Source organism: Homo sapiens, chromosome 17 (assembly GCF_000001405.40).
Source record: "Homo sapiens chromosome 17, GRCh38.p14 Primary Assembly".
NCBI lineage: Eukaryota > Metazoa > Chordata > Mammalia > Primates > Hominidae > Homo > Homo sapiens.
In genome coordinates, this window is record NC_000017.11 from 31,495,849 (window position 1) to 31,515,945 (window position 20,097).

Below are 20,097 nucleotides of genomic sequence, written 5' to 3' on the forward strand. Positions count from 1 at the left end.
CTTCACTGCACACACACAGTCTGCGGAACTGTGACTGAATCCCTGTTCCCTACTCACACTTACATGGTATTTTCTGGGATTCTAAGGCACATTCTTTTTTTCCTTTCCTTTTTTTCCATTTAACATCTTAAATTGGAATGTGTCGCACATTTGCGGATTATTATAATTTGACAGCGCCTTTTTCTTGGCATACTTGAAATAACGGTGCATTGTAAAATCAGAGGTGTCTCAGATTTAATGAAATAGAAACTAGGTAACCTCTGGGGAACTTATATAATTTGTCCAGTTCCTCCAAGGATGCAGGTGGAGCCACCTTGTAGTGGTGGCAGATTATATGAGGGGACCCTGATGTGGTTCAAGGGGACAACCTTGGATTGGGCTTAGATTCCAGCTTTATGGCTCGCCAGCTGTGTGGCCTTGGCAAAGTAGAGCGACCTCTCTGAGCCTCGGGATTTTCCTCCCACCACATATGAATCGTGGCTCCACAGTTGTCATGGCTGTGTGCAAGGCAACATTCCCTGTTTCTCTTGCTGGGTATCATCTAAGGTCTGCCCCGTTCCATCTGGGTTAAGAGGGAAAATGAGGGCTGGGAGTGGGTCACTGGCCTTCCCAAGGGAGCAGAGGGAAACTGGTGTTCCAAGGGCTTCTTGACTCAGTTTATAATCCTTGGACATTACTCTTCTTCCCTCGTCCTTCTCCCCCTTTGCCTGAGTTTTCATTTTCACATGTGTTTCCTTTTAGCAATTTTCTTTCAAATCTCTCCTCTCCCTTTCTGTAAAGTCTTCCCACATGTAGCCTCTTTGAAGCTCCCTGGGGTGGGAAAGGGGAGGAGGGCTCTGCCTGATGGCCTGGATGGCACAGACCTCAGAAGCCCAGTGTGCTGTGGTCCCTGCAAGCTTCAGCTCAAGTCCAAGTTCTGGTACCATCAGCGTTGCTAACTGCCATTCCTGTGGCTGCAGGGTCAGCCTGAGTCCACTCCAGTGCACAGTGTTGTCCATGGGGTGCTGGATGTCGCATCGCTGAGAGCATTTGGTATTCTCTGTACCCTCCTTGCTGCGTTAAAATCAGACCTGGTTCAAATCCCAGCCCTGCGACCTTTCACGAATTACTTAACCTCCTTGAACCTGTGTATTCTCATCTAAATAGTGGCTGATGCACAGAAATACCTGGCACACAATAGGTGCTTAGCAGATGCGTGCTTTCCTTGTTCTCAAATGTTTAAGACCCCTTTGTGGACAGGCACGATGGTTCATGCCTGTAATCCCAGCACTTTGGGAGGCCAACGCGGGCGGATCACCTGAGGTCAAGAGTTCGAGACCAGCCTGACCAACATGGTGAAACCCCATCTCTACTGAAAATACAAAAATCAGCCCGGCGTGGTGGCAGGCGCCTGTAATCCCAGCTACCTAGGAGGCTGAGGCAGGAGAATCGCTGGAACCCGGAAGGCAGAGCCTGCAGTGAGCCGAGATCATGCCACTGCACTCCAGCCTGGGCGACAGAGCGATACTCCATCTCAAAAACAAAACAAAAAAAAAACTGCTTTGTGCTTGTTTAGGTGTTAAGGATCTCGGGGAGTGCCAGCCAGTGGCACTGCTCCTGAGACAGACGGAGGAGTTCTGGGCAGGGGGCAGTGGCAAAGGCACAGGGGCCTGTGTGAGCAGGATGTGTCAGGGGCCCCGTCCTTCAGGATGGCTGGGCTGCAGTGGGGTGAGGCAGGACGGAGAGAGAGGAGGAAGAGTGGTGGGGTGGGCACCCAGTCGGCACCTACAGGGGTGCACATGACAAGGCTGCACAGGGTCTGGCTGGAGCAGTACAGAGGGTTAGGTGTGGGCTGTTCATGGAAGTCGGGGCTGAGTTGGGGAGGCACCAGGAGACAGCCACATGGGGATGTCTGGGTGACAGTGGCCCCCAAGCAGGGGCTGAGTGTGCGCTGCTGGCTAGAGGGAGGCTTTAAGAGCAGGTGATGGTTTTAAACCTTGTTTTCCTTGGAGATCTTCTCTCTGCCCCCTCCCTCTTGAGATTCCAATGAAAGCCAGTAGCCCAACCTCCTCAGTTTTGTGTGTAGTGTCAGAGATTCGAAGCCCCCTCTTTGATGAGGTGGTGCTTATGCCCCCTGTGCATAAGAAGCAGCATGTGCTGAGGCATTGGGGTGGGTAAAGGTGCCCAGGAGCCTGGGGTACTAGGGAAGGGGAGAGGCAGAGCATGTCCTGAGGCTGAGACCTGCTGGAAGGGGCTTTGCGAGCTGCTCTCAGGAGCTGGGCCTGGTTCTGTGGGCAGTGGGGAGCTCACAAGCTCTTAGAGGGGGTTCCCAATGGACTCCCTGGGAGGGAGAGTCTCCACCCCATGAGCCCCTAATGCCCTCTCACCTGTCCCCACTGCGAGAAAGCCTGCCCTGGCCGGAGGCCCTAAGCTGAGCTCTGGCCAGCTATGCTTGAGTGACACCCCCCAACCCCCCATGCAAGACAGCAGCTTCTGGAACACGAAGCTTGGGTAGCTGGGTCTAGCAAAGGCCACAGGACAAAGAGAGACACCTGAACTGAGCTTGCTGGGAAGACCATGGGGGCTATGTGCTGATGGGAGGTACCAGAAGATGGGGCAGGGAGGAGGAGAGGGTTATAAAAACCAAGGGCTCTGGCAGGAGGCCCTGCAGGGTTGGGAGGAGGAGAGTCACCCTGCTGACCCTGACCTGCCTGCTCCAGAAGGGCGGGTCACGTGGAGCCTTGGCCATTGGCTGTGGGTAAACATCGGTGCTCTGCTGGCTGTTCAAGGCCTGAGGGTTCTGTGGCAGAGGAGGAGCTGGGTGGGAACCCACCCTGGCTTTGGACCGTGGGTCAGCTCCATCCAGGCATGCTCTCCTTGAGTTGGATAGTGGCCTCTCTCTGGAAAGTTCCATGTCACCTCTTTGGAGGGTGCTCCCCTGAAAATGTAGCCTGACCTACCCGGTGGACTCTACGAGAAGAAAGAGCTGGCCTGAGCCACTGTTTTCCCTCCCAAACCTTCACTTTGAGTGAAGTGTTTTTATCATCGCTCCTCTTATCATGATGGTAAAGTATGGAGCCCCCAAAGCAAGCCCCACAGACTCTTGGTTGTGTGAGTAATTAAGCCCTCTCTTCAAAAAGCCACATCTTGAAAAGCTATAATTTGTAGCAAAAAATAGCTGCCCGTTCCAAGAACCAGGAGAGCCCTTTATACGCACCCCATTCAACTGCAGCACGTTACTTCGCTTTTGAGTTGAGTTGCTGGGACCTCTGGTCCATGCTTTTCTTGGGGGAACCAGAGATGCAGTGGCTGCATGGGAACTGGAGCTTCCGGTAGGCATTTGGGAAATCTTTTCTGAGAATTTAGATGGGACGATTTAAATTAGGGAACTCCTGATTTGGGTTTGCATGGCCCCAACTTTTTGTGTGACTCCAAAGGGGAGTAAAGAGAAAAACTGCAGGATACTTCAGGGGAAAGTGGATGAGACTCTCTGGACACCATTCCCCCACTTTTTCTTTTCCTTCTTCCTTTCTTTCTTCTTTTTTTTTAGATAGAGTTTCACTCTGTCGCCAGGCTGGAGTACAGTGGCACAGTCTCAGCTCACTGCAACCTCCTACTCCCTGGTTCAAGCGATTCTCCTGCCTCCGCCTCCCGAGTAGCTGGGATTACAGGCACGTGCCACCGTGTCCAGCTAATTTTTGTATTTTTTAGTAGAGATGGGGTTTCACCATGTTGACCAGGATGGTCTCAATCTCCTGACCTCGTGATCCGCCCGTCTCGGCCTCCCAAAGTGCTGGGATTACAGGCATGAGCCACCGCACCTGGCCACATTTCCCCATCTATAAGGAGGAAAATGATAATTACTTGCAGGGAGTTTACCACCTCTGTAAAGCACAGAGCAGACTGGCCACATGGTAGGCGCCCTAGTATGTCAACTTTGTTCTCTTTCTCTGAGTTGTGGCTCCACTAGCTATTTGTAGACAGGAGATCTTTGTGGCTTCAGGTAGGTGATGGGGGACTGAAAGCTAAGAGGAAAAGCCTCCCCTGACCTGCAGCTTCTCTTTGAGCTGGCATGCCTGGAATTCTTGGGGCTGGCTGCTGGGTTTGTTTTCCAGATGTGGAAGCAATTTAAGTTCTGTTTTCTTAATCCCCAACAGTTTGCCTCCGAAGTCCACATTCTCATTTGAAAATCAAGGCCGTTGGCTCTGTTTGCAGGGCAGAGGGTAGGCTAGATAGCCTCTTCAAACCCTTTTTGTTTAGGAAATGGGCTTACTGGGGCACTCAGATCTGGGACCCAGGGCATTCTTGGGACAGTCACACCCCATCCAGGACTTGGTTAAAAGGTGAGTTCACTTTCTCTGTGGGTTTTCCTTGGAGATGATTCACTGAGCTAAATTCAGCTGCACCTTGGTTACAAACCAGCTCTAGACCGCTGTGGAGTGGCGGGGGTGGGGCTCGGGTTTGGGCCATGTCACAGGCCAGCTGGCGTCCCTCTGAGCAGGGTGCCCACGTGTCCCGGGGGCAGTAGCGGCCCTCCTTCCCACACTGACCACAACAGAGGGAGGAAAATGCTCCAGATGTCAGGTAGCCAGAAATACTGTCTGGCACGGAGAAACTGGTAATATCTTGTTCAGTTACTGAGCGCTGCTGGTCACAGAGGCAGCCTGACCCAGGATAAAAGGCTCCTTGTGTGAGGGCCTGTGGCTCCAGGGCTAACTGCTGATTTATTCTCTTGTAAAGCAATCGCTGTGTAGGTAAAATACCTTTTACATTTGTCTTATAACTATACTAAATACAGTTTTGGGCAAACAAAAATTGCCTTTGCAATTCTAACGTCTCTGAACTGTGCATATGCTTCTCTGAAATTGAAATAGAATACTTATACTACTGAGAGAATGCACAAGAAAATGGAAGTGGCTGGGCATGGTGGCTCATGCCTGTAATCCCAGCACTTTGGGAGGCTGAGGCGGGCAGATCACGAGGTCAAGAGATCGAGACCATCCTGGCCAACATGGTGAAACCCCGTCTCTACTAAAAATACAAAAATTAGCTGGGTGTGATGGCACGCGCCTGTAGTCCCAGCTACTCAGGAGGCTGAGGCAGGAGAGTCGCTTGAACTCGGGAGGCAGAGGTTGCAATGAGCCGAGATCGTGCCACTGCACTCCAGCCTGGTGACAGAGTGAGACTCCATCTCAAAAAAAAAAAAAAGAAAATGGAAATAACTTACTTAGATTGGCATATAGTGTTTATAGAATGCCATCCTGATAATCATAGATTCACCAAGCTTTGATTTCAACAAAATATCATCTCTTAAGAAGTAGCAGTATTTCAAACTAATCGTGAAAGAGAATAAGAGAATACAACTTTTTTTTTTTTTTAGGACAGACCAAAAATAAATCCCTGAGTCTCTTGAGTAGGTTCTGGAAATCCAGTTACAGATGCTCCTTGATGGGGTTACGTCCTGATAAACCCATTGTATATTGGAAGTATCATAAGTTAAAAAAAAAAAAAGAAAAAAATGCGTTTAATACATCTCACCTACCAAACACCATAGCTTAGCCTAGGCTACCTTAAATGTGCCCAAACACTTACTTTAGCCTACAGTTGGGCAAAATCATCTAACACAGAGCTTGTTTTACAATAAAGTGTTTTATGTCCCACGCAATTTATTTTTTGTTGTTGTTGTTTTGTTTGATTTGGTTTGGTTTGGTTTTTCTTTGAGATGGAGTCTGGCTCTGTTGCCCAGGATGGAGTGCAGTGGCGCGATCTCGGCTCACTGCAAGCTCCGCCTTCCGGGTTCACGCCATTCTCCTGCCTCAGCCTCCCAAGTAGCTGGGACTACAGGCGCCCGCCACCACGCCCAGCTAATTTTTTGTATTTTTAGTAGAGATGGGGTTTCACCATGGTCTCAATCTCCTGACCTCGTGATCCGCCCGCCTCGGCCTCCCAAAGTGCTGGGTGTAATCCACCGCACCCAGCCCATCCCACGCAATTTATTAAGTACTATGCTGAAAGTGAAAGACAATGCTCTTATGGGTACTTGAAGTATGACTTCTACTGACTGTGGATCACTTTGCACCATCATACAGTTGAAAAATCAAAGTGAGCCCGGGCATAGTGGCTCACGGTGGCCTGTAATCCCAGCACGTTGGGAGGCCAAGGTGGCTGGCTGCATCACTTGAGGCCAGGAGTTTGAGACTAGCCTGGACAACATGCCAAAACCCCATCTGTACTGAAAATACAAAAATTAGCCAGGCGTGGTGGTGGGCACCTGTAATCCCAGCTATTTGGGAGGCTGAGGCAGGAGAATCACTTGAACCCAGGAGGGGGGTGTTGCAGTGAGCTGAGATGGTGCCATCGCACTCTGGCCTGGTTGACAGAGCGATACCTTGTCTCAAAAAAAAAAAAAATTGTAAGTCAAACCATTGTAAGTTGAGGACCATCTGTAGTTCTCTTTAAAGGTTGAATTGGCTGGGCGAGGTGGCTCACACCTGTAATCCTAGCACTTTGGGAAGCTGAGGTAGGTAGATCACTTGAGGTCAGGAGTTCAAGACCAGCCTGGCCAATATGGTGAAACCCCATCTCTACTAAAAATACAAAAATTAGCTGGGCGTGCTGGTGGGCACCTGTAATCCCAGCTACTTGGGAGGCTGAGGCAGGAGAATTGCTTGAACCCAAGAGACAGAGGTTGCAGTGAGCTGAGATTGTGCCACTGTACTCCAGCCTGGGTGACAGAGCAAGACTGTATCTCAAAAAATAAAAAAATAAAGGTTGAATTGAATTGACCTTTAAAAAGTTCTCTTTTGTTATCAGGGTGAGAAGGTGGGCGAAAAATCCAGACTGAGCTTGGGTTGGGGTTTCCATGAAGCCTTCCTAGGGGAGGAGAAGGGATATTGGTATATTGGTCTATTGGTCTGCTACGGCTGTCATAGCAAAGGACCACAGACTGCGTGGCGTAAACAACCAAAGTGTGTTTTATCACAATTCTGGAGGCTGAAGTCTAGCATCAAGGTGTCAGCAGGCTTGGTTTCTTCTGAGTCCTCTCTCCTTGGCTTGCAGACAGCCATCTTCTCCCTGTGTCGTCACATGGTCTTTCCTTTGCGTGTGTCCTAATCTCCTCTTATAAGGACACCAGTCACATTGCGTTAGGGCCCACCCATTAGGACTTCAATTTAAATGAATTACCTCTTTATTATTATTATTATTATTTTGTTGTTTGTTTTAAGACAGAGTCTTGCTCTGTTGCCCAGGCTGGAGTGCAGTGGCACTATCTCGGCTCACTGCAACCTCCACCTCCCAGGTTCAAGTGATTCTCCTGCCTCAGCCTCCCGAGTAGCTGGGACTACAGGCATGTGCCACCACGCCTGGCTAATTTTTGTATTTTTAGTAGAGACTGGATTTCAACATGTTGGCCAGGCTAGTCTCGAACTCCTGACCTCAAGTGATCCACCCACCTCGACCTCCCAAAGTGCTGGGATTGTAGGTGTGAGCCTGCAGTTCAGCCCGGCCTGAATTACCTCTTTAAAGACTATCTACAAATACAGTCACATTCTGAAGTACTAGGGATTAGGACTTCAATATATGAATTTTAGAGGGAACAGGATTCAGCCCATAGCAGAAAAGGGTCTTGGGAACCTCCTTCAAGGGAAGGGGGAAGAGGAAGAGGAGGGTGGGCAAAGCCTGGCAGAGTAGAGGGGAGGCAGTTCTGCTTTCAGGCAAAGGCCCATGGGTGAGGGACCCCCTGGGGATGGCTCTTGACCACCTGCTCTATTTGGAAACATTTCTAGGACTGTTATGACTGTGAATGGTCTTTTAGAGGCCGGATCATTCTTATGACCTCAGCCATCCATTGCCGCTTGATCTGATCATTTGAAACCAAGACTGCTCGTCGTTCTGTTCTCATTTCATCCTTGAAGCTCATGTTGGTCTGTTCGGGCTCCAGTTTCTGTGGACTCTACCCGCTAGGATAGTATTCTTTCAGGATGGCTTCACTTTTTCATATTCTTTTAAGTAGAGCCAGACCTGTCAGGAAAAAGCGAATAAACCGATCAAAAAATCAGCAAAAGATCCGAATAGACATTTCTGTTATATGTAATTTATATAAATGGAAAACAGGCATATGAAAGGTGCTCAACATCATTGATCATCAGAGAAATGCAAATGAAAACTATAATGAGATATCATCCCATCCTAGTTAAAATACCTTTTATCCAAAAGACAGGCAATAACACTTTTCCTTCACTAGTTCAGCAAATTTGGGGCAGGCTATTTTTTCATGTTTCCATATAATGTTTACTACTACTTCTTTTTTTTTTTTTTTTGAGACATTGTCTCGCTCTGTCACCCAGGCTGGAGTGCAGTGGCGCGACCTCGGCTCACTGCAAGCTCTGCCTCCTGGGTTCACGCCATTCCCCTGCCACAGCCTCCCGAGTAGCTGGAACTACAGGCACCCACCACCACGCCCGGCTAATTTTTTTGTATTTTTAGTAGAGATGGGGTTTCACTGTGTTAGCCAGGATGGTCTTGAACTCCTGACCTCATGATCCGCTTGCCTCGGCCTCTCAAAGTGCTGGGATTACAGGTGCCCGCCACCACGCCCGGCTAATTTTTTTGTATTTTTGGTAGAGACAGGGTTTCGCCATGTTGGCCAGGATGGTCTTGAACTCCTGACCTCATGATAAGCGCTCGCCTCGGTCTCCCAAAGTGCTGGGATTACAGGCGTGAGCCACCGTGCCTGTCCTGTAACTTTCAAATGAACCAAGTTTCTTTTCAAATGAGCCATTTGAAAAGAAATTAGACTAAATATTATCAAAACTAAGGACATTTTCCTTCACAACTATATGCCATTAACACACCTGACAAAATTAAGCATAATTCCCTAATATCACCCAATATCTACTCCAGATTCCATCCTCCTTGTTTATCCTCAAAAGGTCTTTTACAGCTGGTGGTGGTTTGTTTGTTTGATCTGGGATCTAATCAAGGATAATATTCGGTTTCTATGTCTCTCAGTTAATCTAGAACAGTGGTTTGCAAAGTGTGGTCCTGGGACAAGTGGCATCCGCATCACCCGAGAACTTGTTAGAAATGCGTTTTCTTCCAGCCTGCCTCAACCTTTAGAAATGCATCTTCCCTGTGGTGATGTGTAACTTCTATCCCATTTTTCCGTTTGGTAGAAGTTAGATCCTAAGGCTTGATTTGAATTGAGTTAAATACTTAGTTAAGCCCACACTATAGGTGATGCTGTGTACCTCTTAGGCATCGCGTTGGGAGGCCAGCGCCTGGTTCTTTCCAATTAGTGATGCTAAATTTGATCTCTGCATTAAAGGGACAGTAGTCTGTGTTCTCCCTGGTAGAGGTATGTGGGGTGCTTTGGTGTTTTGCAGCAATCTGTAGGGTGATTCTTCGGTATTGTGCAAGTATCTAGTTTTTCATTAGCCTTTAATCTACTGGTGTTATTCTGCAGTTGTTGAGTGTAGTGTTCTGTATGTATCAGTCTGGAGTTTGTGTTGTTCTGGTCTTCTGTGTCCTCTCTAATTCTCTTGTTTGCTTATTCCATCAGTAATAATAATAATATATAATAATTATTATATATTAATATATAATTATTATATAATATATAATAATTATTATAACATATAATAATAATTATAATATATAATATATAATTATTATATTATATATAATAATTATATATTATATATAATTATTATATATTATATATAATAATAATTATAATATATAATAATATATAATAATAATTATATATTATATAATAATAATTATATATAATATATAATTATATAATAATAATTATATATAATATATAATAATTATATAATACATAATTATTATAATATATAATAATTATATATAATATATTAATAATATTATTATTACTATTATTAAAGACAGAATCTTGAGCTCTGTCACCCAGGTGCAATCATAGCTCACTGTATCCTCGAACTCGTGGCCTCAAGCAATCCTTTGGCCTCAGCCTCCCGAGTAGCTGAGATTACAGGCATGCACCACCTGGCTATTCTTTTTTACTTTTTTTTTTTTTTTGTAGAGATGGAGTCTCATTATGTTTCCCAGGCTGGCCTGGAGCTCCTGGCCACCTGCCTTGGCCTCCCAAAGTGCTGGCATTACAGGTGTGAGCCACGTTCAGCATGTTCCATCAGTTTCTGAGAGAGGTGAATTAACAGCTCCCACTTCCCATTCTGTTAAGTTTTGCTTTATGTTTTGAGACTGTTAGATGCATAGATATAAAAGTGTTACATCTTGTTAAATTTCAATTGTGTTTCTTGTAAGTGGTATGTAGTTGTTTTTAATTTACTCTGACAATATTGATCTTTTAATAGGATTATTTACTCAGTTTTCTTTAAAAGTATTACTGATGTGGTAGAGTTTTAATCCTACATAATCTTTAAGTTTTTAATTGACATACAATTGTACATATTTAGAGAGTACAGTCTGATGTTTTGATACACATGTGTATTGTGGAATGATCAAATCAGGGTCATTAGCAAAACCATCACTTCAAACACTTGTCATTTCTTTGTGGTGAGAACATTCAAAATGCTATCTTCTAGCTATTTTTAAATACACATTGTTGTTAATTGTAGTAACCTTACTGTGCAATAGAACACCAGGACTTAGTCCTCCCATCTGACTATAGCTTCGTGCCTGTTGACCAACCTTTCCCCGTCCTCCCTTCTCCTACCCTCTCCAGCCTCTGGTAACCACCATTCTACTTTCTACTTCTATGGGATAACTTCTTTAGATTCTACATAGGAGTGAGATCATGCTGTTTGTCCTTCTCTACTTGGCTTATTTCACTTAACACAATGTTCTGTAGGTTCATCCATGTCACAAATGACAGGATTTTATTCTTTTTTATGGCTGAATACTATTCCATTGTGTATATATACACCCCATTTTAAAAATGCATTCATCTGTTAATGGATACTTAGTTGACTCCATATTTTGGCTATTGTGAATTGTGCTTCAATAAATGTGGGAATGCAGATCTCTCTTTGACATACTGATTTCTTTTCTTTTGTTTGTATACCTAGTAGATGAATTGTTGGATCATATGATAGTTTTAAATTCTTTGAGGAACCTCCATACCGTTGTCCATAATGATTGTTCTATTAATACTTACAGTCCCAACCGGGCACAGTGGCTCACAGCTGTAATCCCAGCACTGTGGGAGGCCGAGGTGGGCGGATCATGAGGTCAGGAGTTTGAGACCAGTCTGGCCAATATGGTGAAACCCTTTCTCTACTAAAGATACAAAAAATTAGCCAGGCGTGGTGGCATGTGCCTGTAATCCCAGCTACTCGGGAGGCTGAGGCAGGAGAATCGCTTGATTCCGGGAGGTGGAGGTTGCAGTGAGCCAAGATCGTGCTATTGCACTCCAGCCTGGGCGACAGGGTGAGACTCCATCTCAAAAAAAGAAAAAAAAGGTTACAGTCCCATTAACAGTGTATAAGAGTTCCCTTTTCTCCACATCCTTGCCAGCATTTGTTATTTTCTGTCTCTTTGATGATAGCCATTCTTATTAGGGTGAGGTGGTATCTCATTGTGGTTTTGATTTGTGTTTCCCTGATGATTAGTGATGTTGAACATTTTTTCATATACCTCTTGGCCATTTGTGTGTTGTCTTTGGAGAAACACCTATTCAGATCTTTTGCCCATTTTTAAATTGAATTATTTGTTTTTTTGCTATTGAGTTGTTTGAGTTCCTTATGTATTCTGGCTATCAGTCATCTGTCCTTTTGGATGATTCAAGCATTTTTTTATTCCTTCATTTCTCTCATCTATTATTATTATTACTATTATTTTAAGATATAGGGTCTCACCATGTTGCCCAGGTAGGCCTTGAACTCCTAGGTTCAAGCAGTCCTCCTGCCTCAGCCTCCCAAATAGTTGGGGATACAGCCATGCACTGCCATGCCTGGCTTAGATTTTTAGTAATATGTTTTGTTTTATTTTATTTTATTTTATTTTAACTAATTTATTTTTAGACAGGGTCTCACTCCCGTTGCCCAGGCTGGAGTGCAGTGGCACCATCACAGCCTCGACTTCCTGGGCTCAGGTGATTCTCTATCCTCAGCCTCTCAAGTAGTTGGGACAACAGGCATGCGCCACCACACCTGGCTAACTTTTTGTATTTTTTGTAGAGATAGGGTTTCACCATGTTTCCTATGCTAGTTTCAAACTCCTGGGCTCAAGTGATCCAGCCACTTCAGCCTCCCAAAGTGCTGGGATTACAGGTGTGAGCCACTGTGCCCGGCCCGTTTTTAACTCCCAACCTTTGACATGCTCACTTGTTATTGGAACGGAAGTGGCACAGTGGGGAGAGAGGAGTGAGAGCGTCTCCCCACAGTGGATGGCTCAGCTGTTCGGGATGTTTCCAGTGGGATCACACCATGGTCCAGGGTCTGGTCTGCATCCTAATGGGCTTGAAAACCAGATCTTACTGGCTTTTCCCACACCCCACAACTTGAGTCCACTCATGCTCACTGATTGTCCCTAAATGGACCTGCAGAGCCAGTGGATCCCCTTGTGGTGAGAAATGCACTCACATGAGCTTGGGCAGCCCTTCTCTCCTGTCTGTCAGCAGGCTTCTGGGAGTGGGTGCTACGTGAACTTGGACACAGGGGCCAAGGGCTGGACAGGTGTGGAATGTTGAGCCAGGCCCCACCGCCTTTGGGGCAGGCTGGATGTGCTGGCCAGCCAGACCTGACACCTCTGGCCAGTGCCTGGGTGCACGCGGCCCGGGTCGGCCTCAGACCCTCCCTCTTGGTGCTTCCCAGGAGACCACTCGCTTAGCCCCTCCCTGAGGACAGGCTCTGTCTTTAGATCCCTTAGTACTTCAGTCCCTCTGTCAGCCTCAGGAAATGTGTGCATCTCTCTTAGTTGAGCTCCCAGGAGGTTATCTGACATCTCTCATTTCTGAGTCTTTCTGGGAGCCTCAGCACACACCCCGCTTCCTCTCTGTGGGCTCCTCTGACGCTGCCTTATCAGCAGTGTGTGTGTTGGGGTGAGGTTGTGAGATCGGAGAGAGAGACAGCTCAAGAGTTGTGATGAAAACACTGAAAGAAAGGCAGTGTGGGCTTCAGCAGCCCTTCCTCGGTGATGTTTGTGCAGCAGCAGAACTTGTTGAGTGACCGCCTTTGCTTTATGTAAATGTCATGAGTTCTGGAGAAACACAAGCATGGCTTTCGCTTTCTTTTCTGTTCAGCACCAACCTGAGGTTCCACAGCCAGTGTGTGCCAGATCCAGAACTGAACCAAATCTGCCCAAGAGCCTCAGTCTCCACATCTTCAAGCCCAGGAGTTTGAAACCAGCACAGGAAACGTGGTGAAACCCTGTCTCTACAAAAAATCTGTAAAATAGGGTGATTTATTACCTCCCTCTGGGGGTGATGCAAGAAGCCTGCTTGCTTCTCATGTGAAATGAATGAGCACCTGGGGAACCCCAGTTGTCCCGGTTGCCCCCGCTCCTGGGGTCTGCAGGCCCACCTTAGGATGGAAGTGGAGCGCAGCAACCAGGTGTCTACACAAGATCCACTCCTAGAAGCTGCAGGGCGGGAGCAGTGGGCCCTGCTGAGGGGTGGTCTTGAGCTCCTGGCCACACCCTTTCTGGGGTGAGTTTCAGGAGGTGGATCCGGGGCCCCCGGCTGGGAGAAGAGAGTCTGGAAGCTGCCCTGCCTTGGCTGCCATCCCCTGGGAGGGAGTTTAGCTGGAGGAATGGGGCACTGGGTCCCTCCCTGACACCCCGGGGCCTCTGAGCCACTCTGGGGATGGAACGTAGCAGTGCAGCATTTCTTCCTGATCAGAGCGGGAAGCTCTGGGCTGCAGAGCTTTGATCTCACAGTATGTGGTCAGTCCCCGGGGCTGGCTGAGGTGTGGGATGATCCCTCGTGACCTGGCGACCTGGTGCTCCCATGCTTACCCCTGGCTCTGTTGGGGTGAGCCGAGGCCTCATGTCTGAGCTGAGGTTGCTTGTTGTTCAGAAGGCAAGGCCGAGGCACTGCCTCTGGGTGGATGCTTGAACCCCCTTTATCCCACCCTTGCCTTGGCTGGTGCCTGGGCAACTCTCTGTTGAACCAAAACCTCTTATCAGCAACTGATAAGTACCCAGCCTTGCATCTGCAGAGCAAGGCCTGACCCAGAGCCAGGGTTGGCAGCTGCAGCAGGAGTCCGTTACAGCCAAGATTGCGTACCAGTCTCTGCGGCCACCACCTTTTCATGATGAGAGCAGCCAAGCCACAGTGGGGTGTGGAAGACCCCAGCCCTAGCAATCACATCCCTTCCCTGTGGACCTGGGGACATTGGCACCTATGAGTTAGCTCAGTAAGCTGAATTTCCTGCTGCCCATAGGAAGGACCCCGTGAGACCTTGACCTGGCCCATCTCGTTCCAGAGCTGTTGGTTGGCTGGGAGTGGGGTGAGAGATTCATCACAGGCCTAGCCCTGGCAACCGCTGGACTCCCCTACACTAGGCTTAGTGTGTGTCCACCCCCACCGCACACATGCACACCTTCCCAGCGGCAGCGCTGCACGTGTGCCTGCTGGTGCCTTGCTGCAAGGGAAGTGGGCATGTGCCCGCCCAAGCTATTTTTACCCTGCCTTGTCCCCACAGAGCTGTTCTTTGGCTCTGAGTTAGTGCCTGGGGAATGAGGCCGTTGCCAGGGCTGGGGGTGGATGAGCTGGAACCTCGGAGCTTCTTGGACTCCCTTCCCCAGGCAGCATCTCATCTTAATGCTTACTAAAGGGTGTGACTCGTGTGCAGGGCGACCTTCCATAAGAGTGGGCAGGAGAGGACCCTGGTGGGGAGAAAGAGGCACTGATGTTTGGAGGGCAGGCTCTGGAACCTGCAGGTCTGGCTTCCTGCAGCCAAAAAAACCCAGCCGAGCTGCAGCCCAGTGAGCCACGGTGGGTAGAGGGAGAGGTCCCAGGGGCTGGATGGGAGCCAGGAGGCCAGGAGGTACCCTGGATTGTTTTCCTTCAACACAATGACGACAATAGTAGTTCAGTTTTGGGGTGTGGTGGTGTGTACCTGTAGTCCTAGCTGCTTGGGAGGCTGAGCTGGGAGGATCACTTGAGTCCTGGGAGTTTGAAGCTGCAGTGAGCTGTGATTGCGCCACTGCATTCCAAGGGTTTTTTTGTTTTTGTTGTTGTTTTTGTGTTTTTGTTTTGTTTTGTTTTGTTTTCTGAGCACTTTCTGTGTGTGCTAAGACCATAAAGTGCTTAGGATGTGTAGCAGCTCATTTAATCCTAATCACAGTTAACTCCATTTTATAGATGGGGAAACTAAGGCACTGAGCAGTTCAGTAACCCTGAAGCTGCAGAGCTCATGAATGGTGAATGGTGGAGCAGGGCTCTGGCCTGGCCGTCTACTCCAGAGCTTGTCCTTAACGCCACCCCGCGCCTCCTTTTGCCGTGTGTTCCGCGCCCTCATGACACAAGGCATTGTCCTAGTTCCCTGTGGCAGCCTGCCAGGCAGGTGGTTCCCTCCCCGTGTTTACATCAGGCCCAGAAATTAAACAGCTGATCCAGCATCAGACAGTCAGGCAGTGACCACACCAGAGTCGGCACCCAGGTCTCAGGGTCCTGTGGCTGTGCTGTTCCCAGCTCATCATACTGCAGTACAGTATGGTTCCACCACCTGCCATGTGCTCTCTACAGTGCTAACCACTGGGGTTCTGACATGTAAATCCCCATAGCTACCCACTTAGGGTCCTTGCTCTCACAGGGAAGGTGGACATGTGGTCACTTGGGGTCCATGTACTCTGTGTGTCAGCTCAGGGAAACGCAGGGTGCTGGCGTGTGCCTGTGAGGTGGCTCCCCATGGGGGAGGTGGGGAGGGAGAGGACCAGATGCTGCATCCGCTCTGAGAGTGTGGACAGTGTGGCATTGTTGGCCACTCTGAGGCTGGGACGGCCCCCACGTGTATTGATACTTGGCCTTTTCAGCAGCCCTGAATTCATCCCTTGCCAACTTCCTACAAAAGAAGGGGTGACTTGGGGCCTGCTGGCAGGCGAACACGGCTCTCAAGACTGGAGAGGGCCCCACGGCAGGCTGTGTGCCTCTAGGTTCCCACTCCCTGCTGGGGACAGGGTGGGACAGTGGGACAGCGAGGTAGGGGTGCAGGGGATGCAGACCTGCCCTGCCAGAGTGGCTGGCTGGATCCTGTTCTCCAGCTCTCTCCAGAATGCCCTGGCCTCAGGTAATTCCTCAGCTTGGCTTCTCTGAGGAGGGTGGGCGTCCCTCCTGGCTGCTCGTCTGTCCAGGACATTGCTGGCTGACCAGCCGGGGACCCATGGCTGTAGGAATAGCTCACCCTCTGTTGCCTGTAGCCCCTCGTGAGGCCAGGTCAGAATTTACGGCTCCTACCGTGACCGACTCTCCGGTGTAAATTGTCACGTGTGGCCCCCTAGAGCTGCCACTGAGGTGGAGTTGACTGGCCCCATTCTGTAGGTGAGGAGCCAGGTGCTCACAAAGGTGGTCACTTGTCCAAGGTCACATGGCTTGTAAGTGGCTGGGCCAGCAGGGCCGGAAACCCAGACTGCTAGGCCCCAGAGCTGAGCCCTCACCCAAGCCCACCCCCAGGGGCCTCCTGGGGCTTCTGGAGGAACACGCTGCTGCATCCGCTCTCTCCCTTCACCCCGGGGTCCGCTGGCAGGTGGAAGAAAGCCTGGGGTGGTGTGGCCATGTACCAGCCAAGCCTGTGGGCCTATGGTGGCTGGCCCTGTGTCCCAGGGTACAGGGAGCTGTGAGCTCAGGGCTGGCTCTGGGTCTTGAGGGACAGAGCCCTGGCAAGTCAGACTGTGCCAGAGACGATGCCCGGTGCTGCCTCCTGAGGATACCACACTGTCCCTTCCCCAAAGGCCCCCAAAAGAGCAGACACAGCCTTTCTGTGCAAACCCTGGGAACACCAGGCCAAGCTCCAGGCCTGGACATGTGTAGGGTCCCTGGGTGGTGACTGGACGGCCGTGTGTGGACTCCTTTTTCACACAGCAGGCGGGAATGGGCAGGAAACCGGGGCTCTGAGAGGCAGTCTTGGAAGCTGCCCTGGGCACAGACCTTACTTGCTGACCCCGGCCACCTAGAAACATGAGCTCTGGGGAGGCCCTGTCCCTGCCCCACCACTCCTGCCAGCCCTCCAGAGCCAGGCTTGGGTGGGCGCCTCTGTGGTGAGGATGTAGACCGTGCAGCTGGGGTGAGCGGGCAGCTCTCTGGGCATCCTGACGAGCATAGTGCGGTGAGGTGGGGTGATGGTATCCTCTCCCATGACCCCCAGTCTACTTGGAAGTATGCTCAACAGGGGGCTCCGCGTGATTCTTACCTGCAGGCAGCCTGGCCGGAGAGGAACCCACCGCCTCCAGAAGTCTGTGACCCCCAGGCCATCTGGAAACCTTATGAGGGCAATGTTTTTATTATGGCCAAGTTCTTCCTTTTCCTCTGCAACTTTATCTAAAAAACATACAAAAGGGAAATTGGCCAAGAAGAGTCCTAGTATGCTTGACTCCGAGTTCTCCCAGCCCATGAATGGTGGCTCAAGGAGAGAGAAGAGGCTGCGTTCTGGCACCTTCCAGCATCTCCCCTCCAGGCCGGCGGGAGAAGGAGCAAGGGCTTCCACCAGACCCTTCCCCAGAGGGCCGGGGAAACAAGAGCTGGGGCTGGGGACTTTGGCCCTCAGGGAGGAGCAAGGGTGACCATGGCAAATACCAAACCAAGGGGATCTTGGGACAGGCATAAACCAGTACTGTCCTGGGCTAACCAAGGCGTGCAGTAAACTGTCTTTATTATATTTGAATTTAGGGGGCAAACTACTAGAAATGGTTTTAAAGTTATAATTAAAATTTCCGATTGCCTTGGACAAACAACTGTGGGTTGAATGAAAAAGTATTAATGTTGGGAATAGCCATTTTTAAGAGAAAAAGCTGGAGAGAGTGTGTGCGCATGTGTGGCCAGGCAGGTGAGGACTTGGTGTGTCAGCCGGGTGTCAGGTCCCTGCAGGCCCTCTGTGAACTGCAAGGTTCCAGGGCAGCCACTCTCCCACTCTGAGCCTCATCTTCCCCAGGTGTCAGACGGAGCTGATGAATCCCAGATCTCTGCCCTGTCTACCCCAGGCAGCTCGCACGGGGCTGTTGTGAGGGATGGGGTGTGTGAGACAGGCGAGGAGCTTGCTGAAGGGCTGGGCAGATGTGGACTCTGCTTAGTCCAAGGCTGAAAGCCTGCCCGAGGAGGTGGTGGTCTTCTTTGGAGGGTGGGAACCTGGTGCCCCTGCTTCTGCCCTGCCTGTGCCTGAGCCAAGCCATTTGAGGCTGCTCTCTCCACCCGGTCAGGGGCTTGGGCCAGCTGCTGGGAGTATCAGGACGCTGCTGTAGATGTTGGGTGAGAGGGCCCGGTGGTTCCACCTGCATGTCATGAGCCAGGTGTTAGTGGGGCAGTGCCCGGCACACACTCGGCCTCTGTGTCCTCGTGTCAGTGGCCAGAGGCCACGTCAGACACCTGAGGAGCAAGGACGCTGATCTGCACTGGGCCCTCTGCCTGCCTCTGGGAGCTGGTGGGCCATAGCCTCCCCAGGATGTGGCTGTAGGGGGAAGGTGGGTGTTGGGGAAACAGAATCATGTCCGGACCCGGCTGTAAACTCCCACATGGCCCCAGGCAAGACCCTTCACCTACAGAAAGGGGAAAAGAGGCTCAGCTCATCGGGCTGCGGTGAAGTCCAGAAGAAACACCATTGCCAAGTTGCTGAGCTCTCACATGAGCCACAGGGCGGGCATTCCCAGCAAGGGGGAACTCTCGCTACCCGTGTGGCCAGGAAGGTGAAAAGTTTGCAGTTCTTCCTGGCCAGGTGAAAGAACAGACCAGGCGCATTGTCCTCTGAGAGCCCCAGGTCTCTTCTGGTCTCCCTCCTGCCTTGTTTCTCTTAGGTGTCCCCGCACTAACCTGCAGTGTCCTGTGAGGGCGTTAAGTGGATGGACGTGGAAGTTGCTGCGTTAGGCGGCATGCTAAGGAGTCATAATTAGTCACATGTCCCTATAAAATGTGCTCTCCTTGTTGTCACCATGAGGTTTGAAAATCCACAAAGTGTGGGAGGTGTCAAGGATAAATGGAATCAAGTGTGTGGATGCAAAGGCAGGCGGGGTGGGGGGCCCTGCCCTGCCCTGCCCTGCCCTCTGGCTGGAGGACTTCTGATGCGCTACTCTTTGAGCCTCTGTTTCCCCATCAGTAAAATGGGGATAATGATCACTGCCCTGAAGAGCTGTCATGAAGCACAGGTGGGATAATATGTGAATGCCCAGCTCGGTCTCTGGAACCTAATGGCTGCTCAGTGATGCTGGTTTCCTTTTGTTTCTACTGGGATGCAGCTTCAGGCTTGGGGATGAAGAGCTTGCTTAGGGCACAAGATGTGATAGGTTGGGAGCCATGTGACCAGATTAATGACATGTGGGTGGAAGGGGCCCTGGGAACCCTGGGGGGATTCTCATTACACAACCTCAGTCTCCACAGTCTCTGCTGTTGGCGTGCCCGGCTCGCTGGTGTACGTGTTATTGGTCCATCTGGTGCTCAGCCTATCACAGCACAGGCAGGAACCAGGCTCATGATAATATTGCCATCTATTTTTAGCCCAGGGGTCTCCTGGTGGGGACGGACCCCCAGGAGGGCTGCCAGCTCACTGGTAGCAGCAGACGGCTGCACATGTCTGGGCAGGCACATCCAGGCCTGTCGCTGAGCAGCTTCTTCAGCTGTCTGAGACTCCAGGAGGCTTTTCACAGCCTGTTTCTGTTGCCCTTCTTGTAGTCTCGGGACTGCAGGGTCCTTTAATAGGGTGCCCTGCCAGCCCTGGCTGAGGAGCACACCAAAGAACCTTGGGAACAGGTTGACATCTCCAATGGGTCAGGTAGAAGCGGTGCCACCTGAGAAGTACCTACTTCCTCAGAGGTGAAGTGGCCCCAGTAAGTGATTTACAGAGAGCTGCCCCTCGGTCTAGGGCCAACTCTGAACCAGGCCGAAGCTCTTCTATCTGATGATTTAACAAAAGGTGCCAGCATGTCTTTATCACACACTGTCATTATGCTGGGCCCCAGACCCAGCAC

The 20,097-nt window shown here is 50.0% G+C and overlaps 1 protein-coding gene across 5 annotated transcripts in view, besides 4 other annotated features; it reads left to right on the forward strand.

The window, feature by feature from the left end:
* RAB11FIP4 (RAB11 family interacting protein 4) overlaps window positions 1–20,097 on the forward strand; it is a 146,537-nt gene that overhangs the window by 104,174 nt on the left and 22,266 nt on the right. The gene's annotated exons all lie outside the window — the stretch shown is intronic.
* Window positions 3,065–4,026: an enhancer, noted in NCBI's record as "H3K27ac-H3K4me1 hESC enhancer chr17:29825931-29826892 (GRCh37/hg19 assembly coordinates)". NCBI's record gives its function as "activates a minimal SCP1, AML or CMV promoter by ChIP-STARR-seq in naive H9 embryonic stem cells {active_cell/tissue: H9 hESC(naive)}" and the evidence as "EXISTENCE:reporter gene assay evidence [ECO:0000049][PMID:30033119]".
* Window positions 4,027–4,986: an enhancer, noted in NCBI's record as "H3K27ac-H3K4me1 hESC enhancer chr17:29826893-29827852 (GRCh37/hg19 assembly coordinates)". NCBI's record gives its function as "activates a minimal SCP1, AML or CMV promoter by ChIP-STARR-seq in naive H9 embryonic stem cells {active_cell/tissue: H9 hESC(naive)}" and the evidence as "EXISTENCE:reporter gene assay evidence [ECO:0000049][PMID:30033119]".
* Window positions 13,031–13,510: an enhancer, noted in NCBI's record as "active region_12013". NCBI's record gives its function as "activates an Ori minimal core promoter by ATAC-STARR-seq in GM12878 lymphoblastoid cells {active_cell/tissue: GM12878}" and the evidence as "EXISTENCE:reporter gene assay evidence [ECO:0000049][PMID:35858748]".
* Window positions 13,792–14,582: an enhancer, noted in NCBI's record as "H3K27ac-H3K4me1 hESC enhancer chr17:29836658-29837448 (GRCh37/hg19 assembly coordinates)". NCBI's record gives its function as "activates a minimal SCP1, AML or CMV promoter by ChIP-STARR-seq in primed H9 embryonic stem cells {active_cell/tissue: H9 hESC(primed)}" and the evidence as "EXISTENCE:reporter gene assay evidence [ECO:0000049][PMID:30033119]".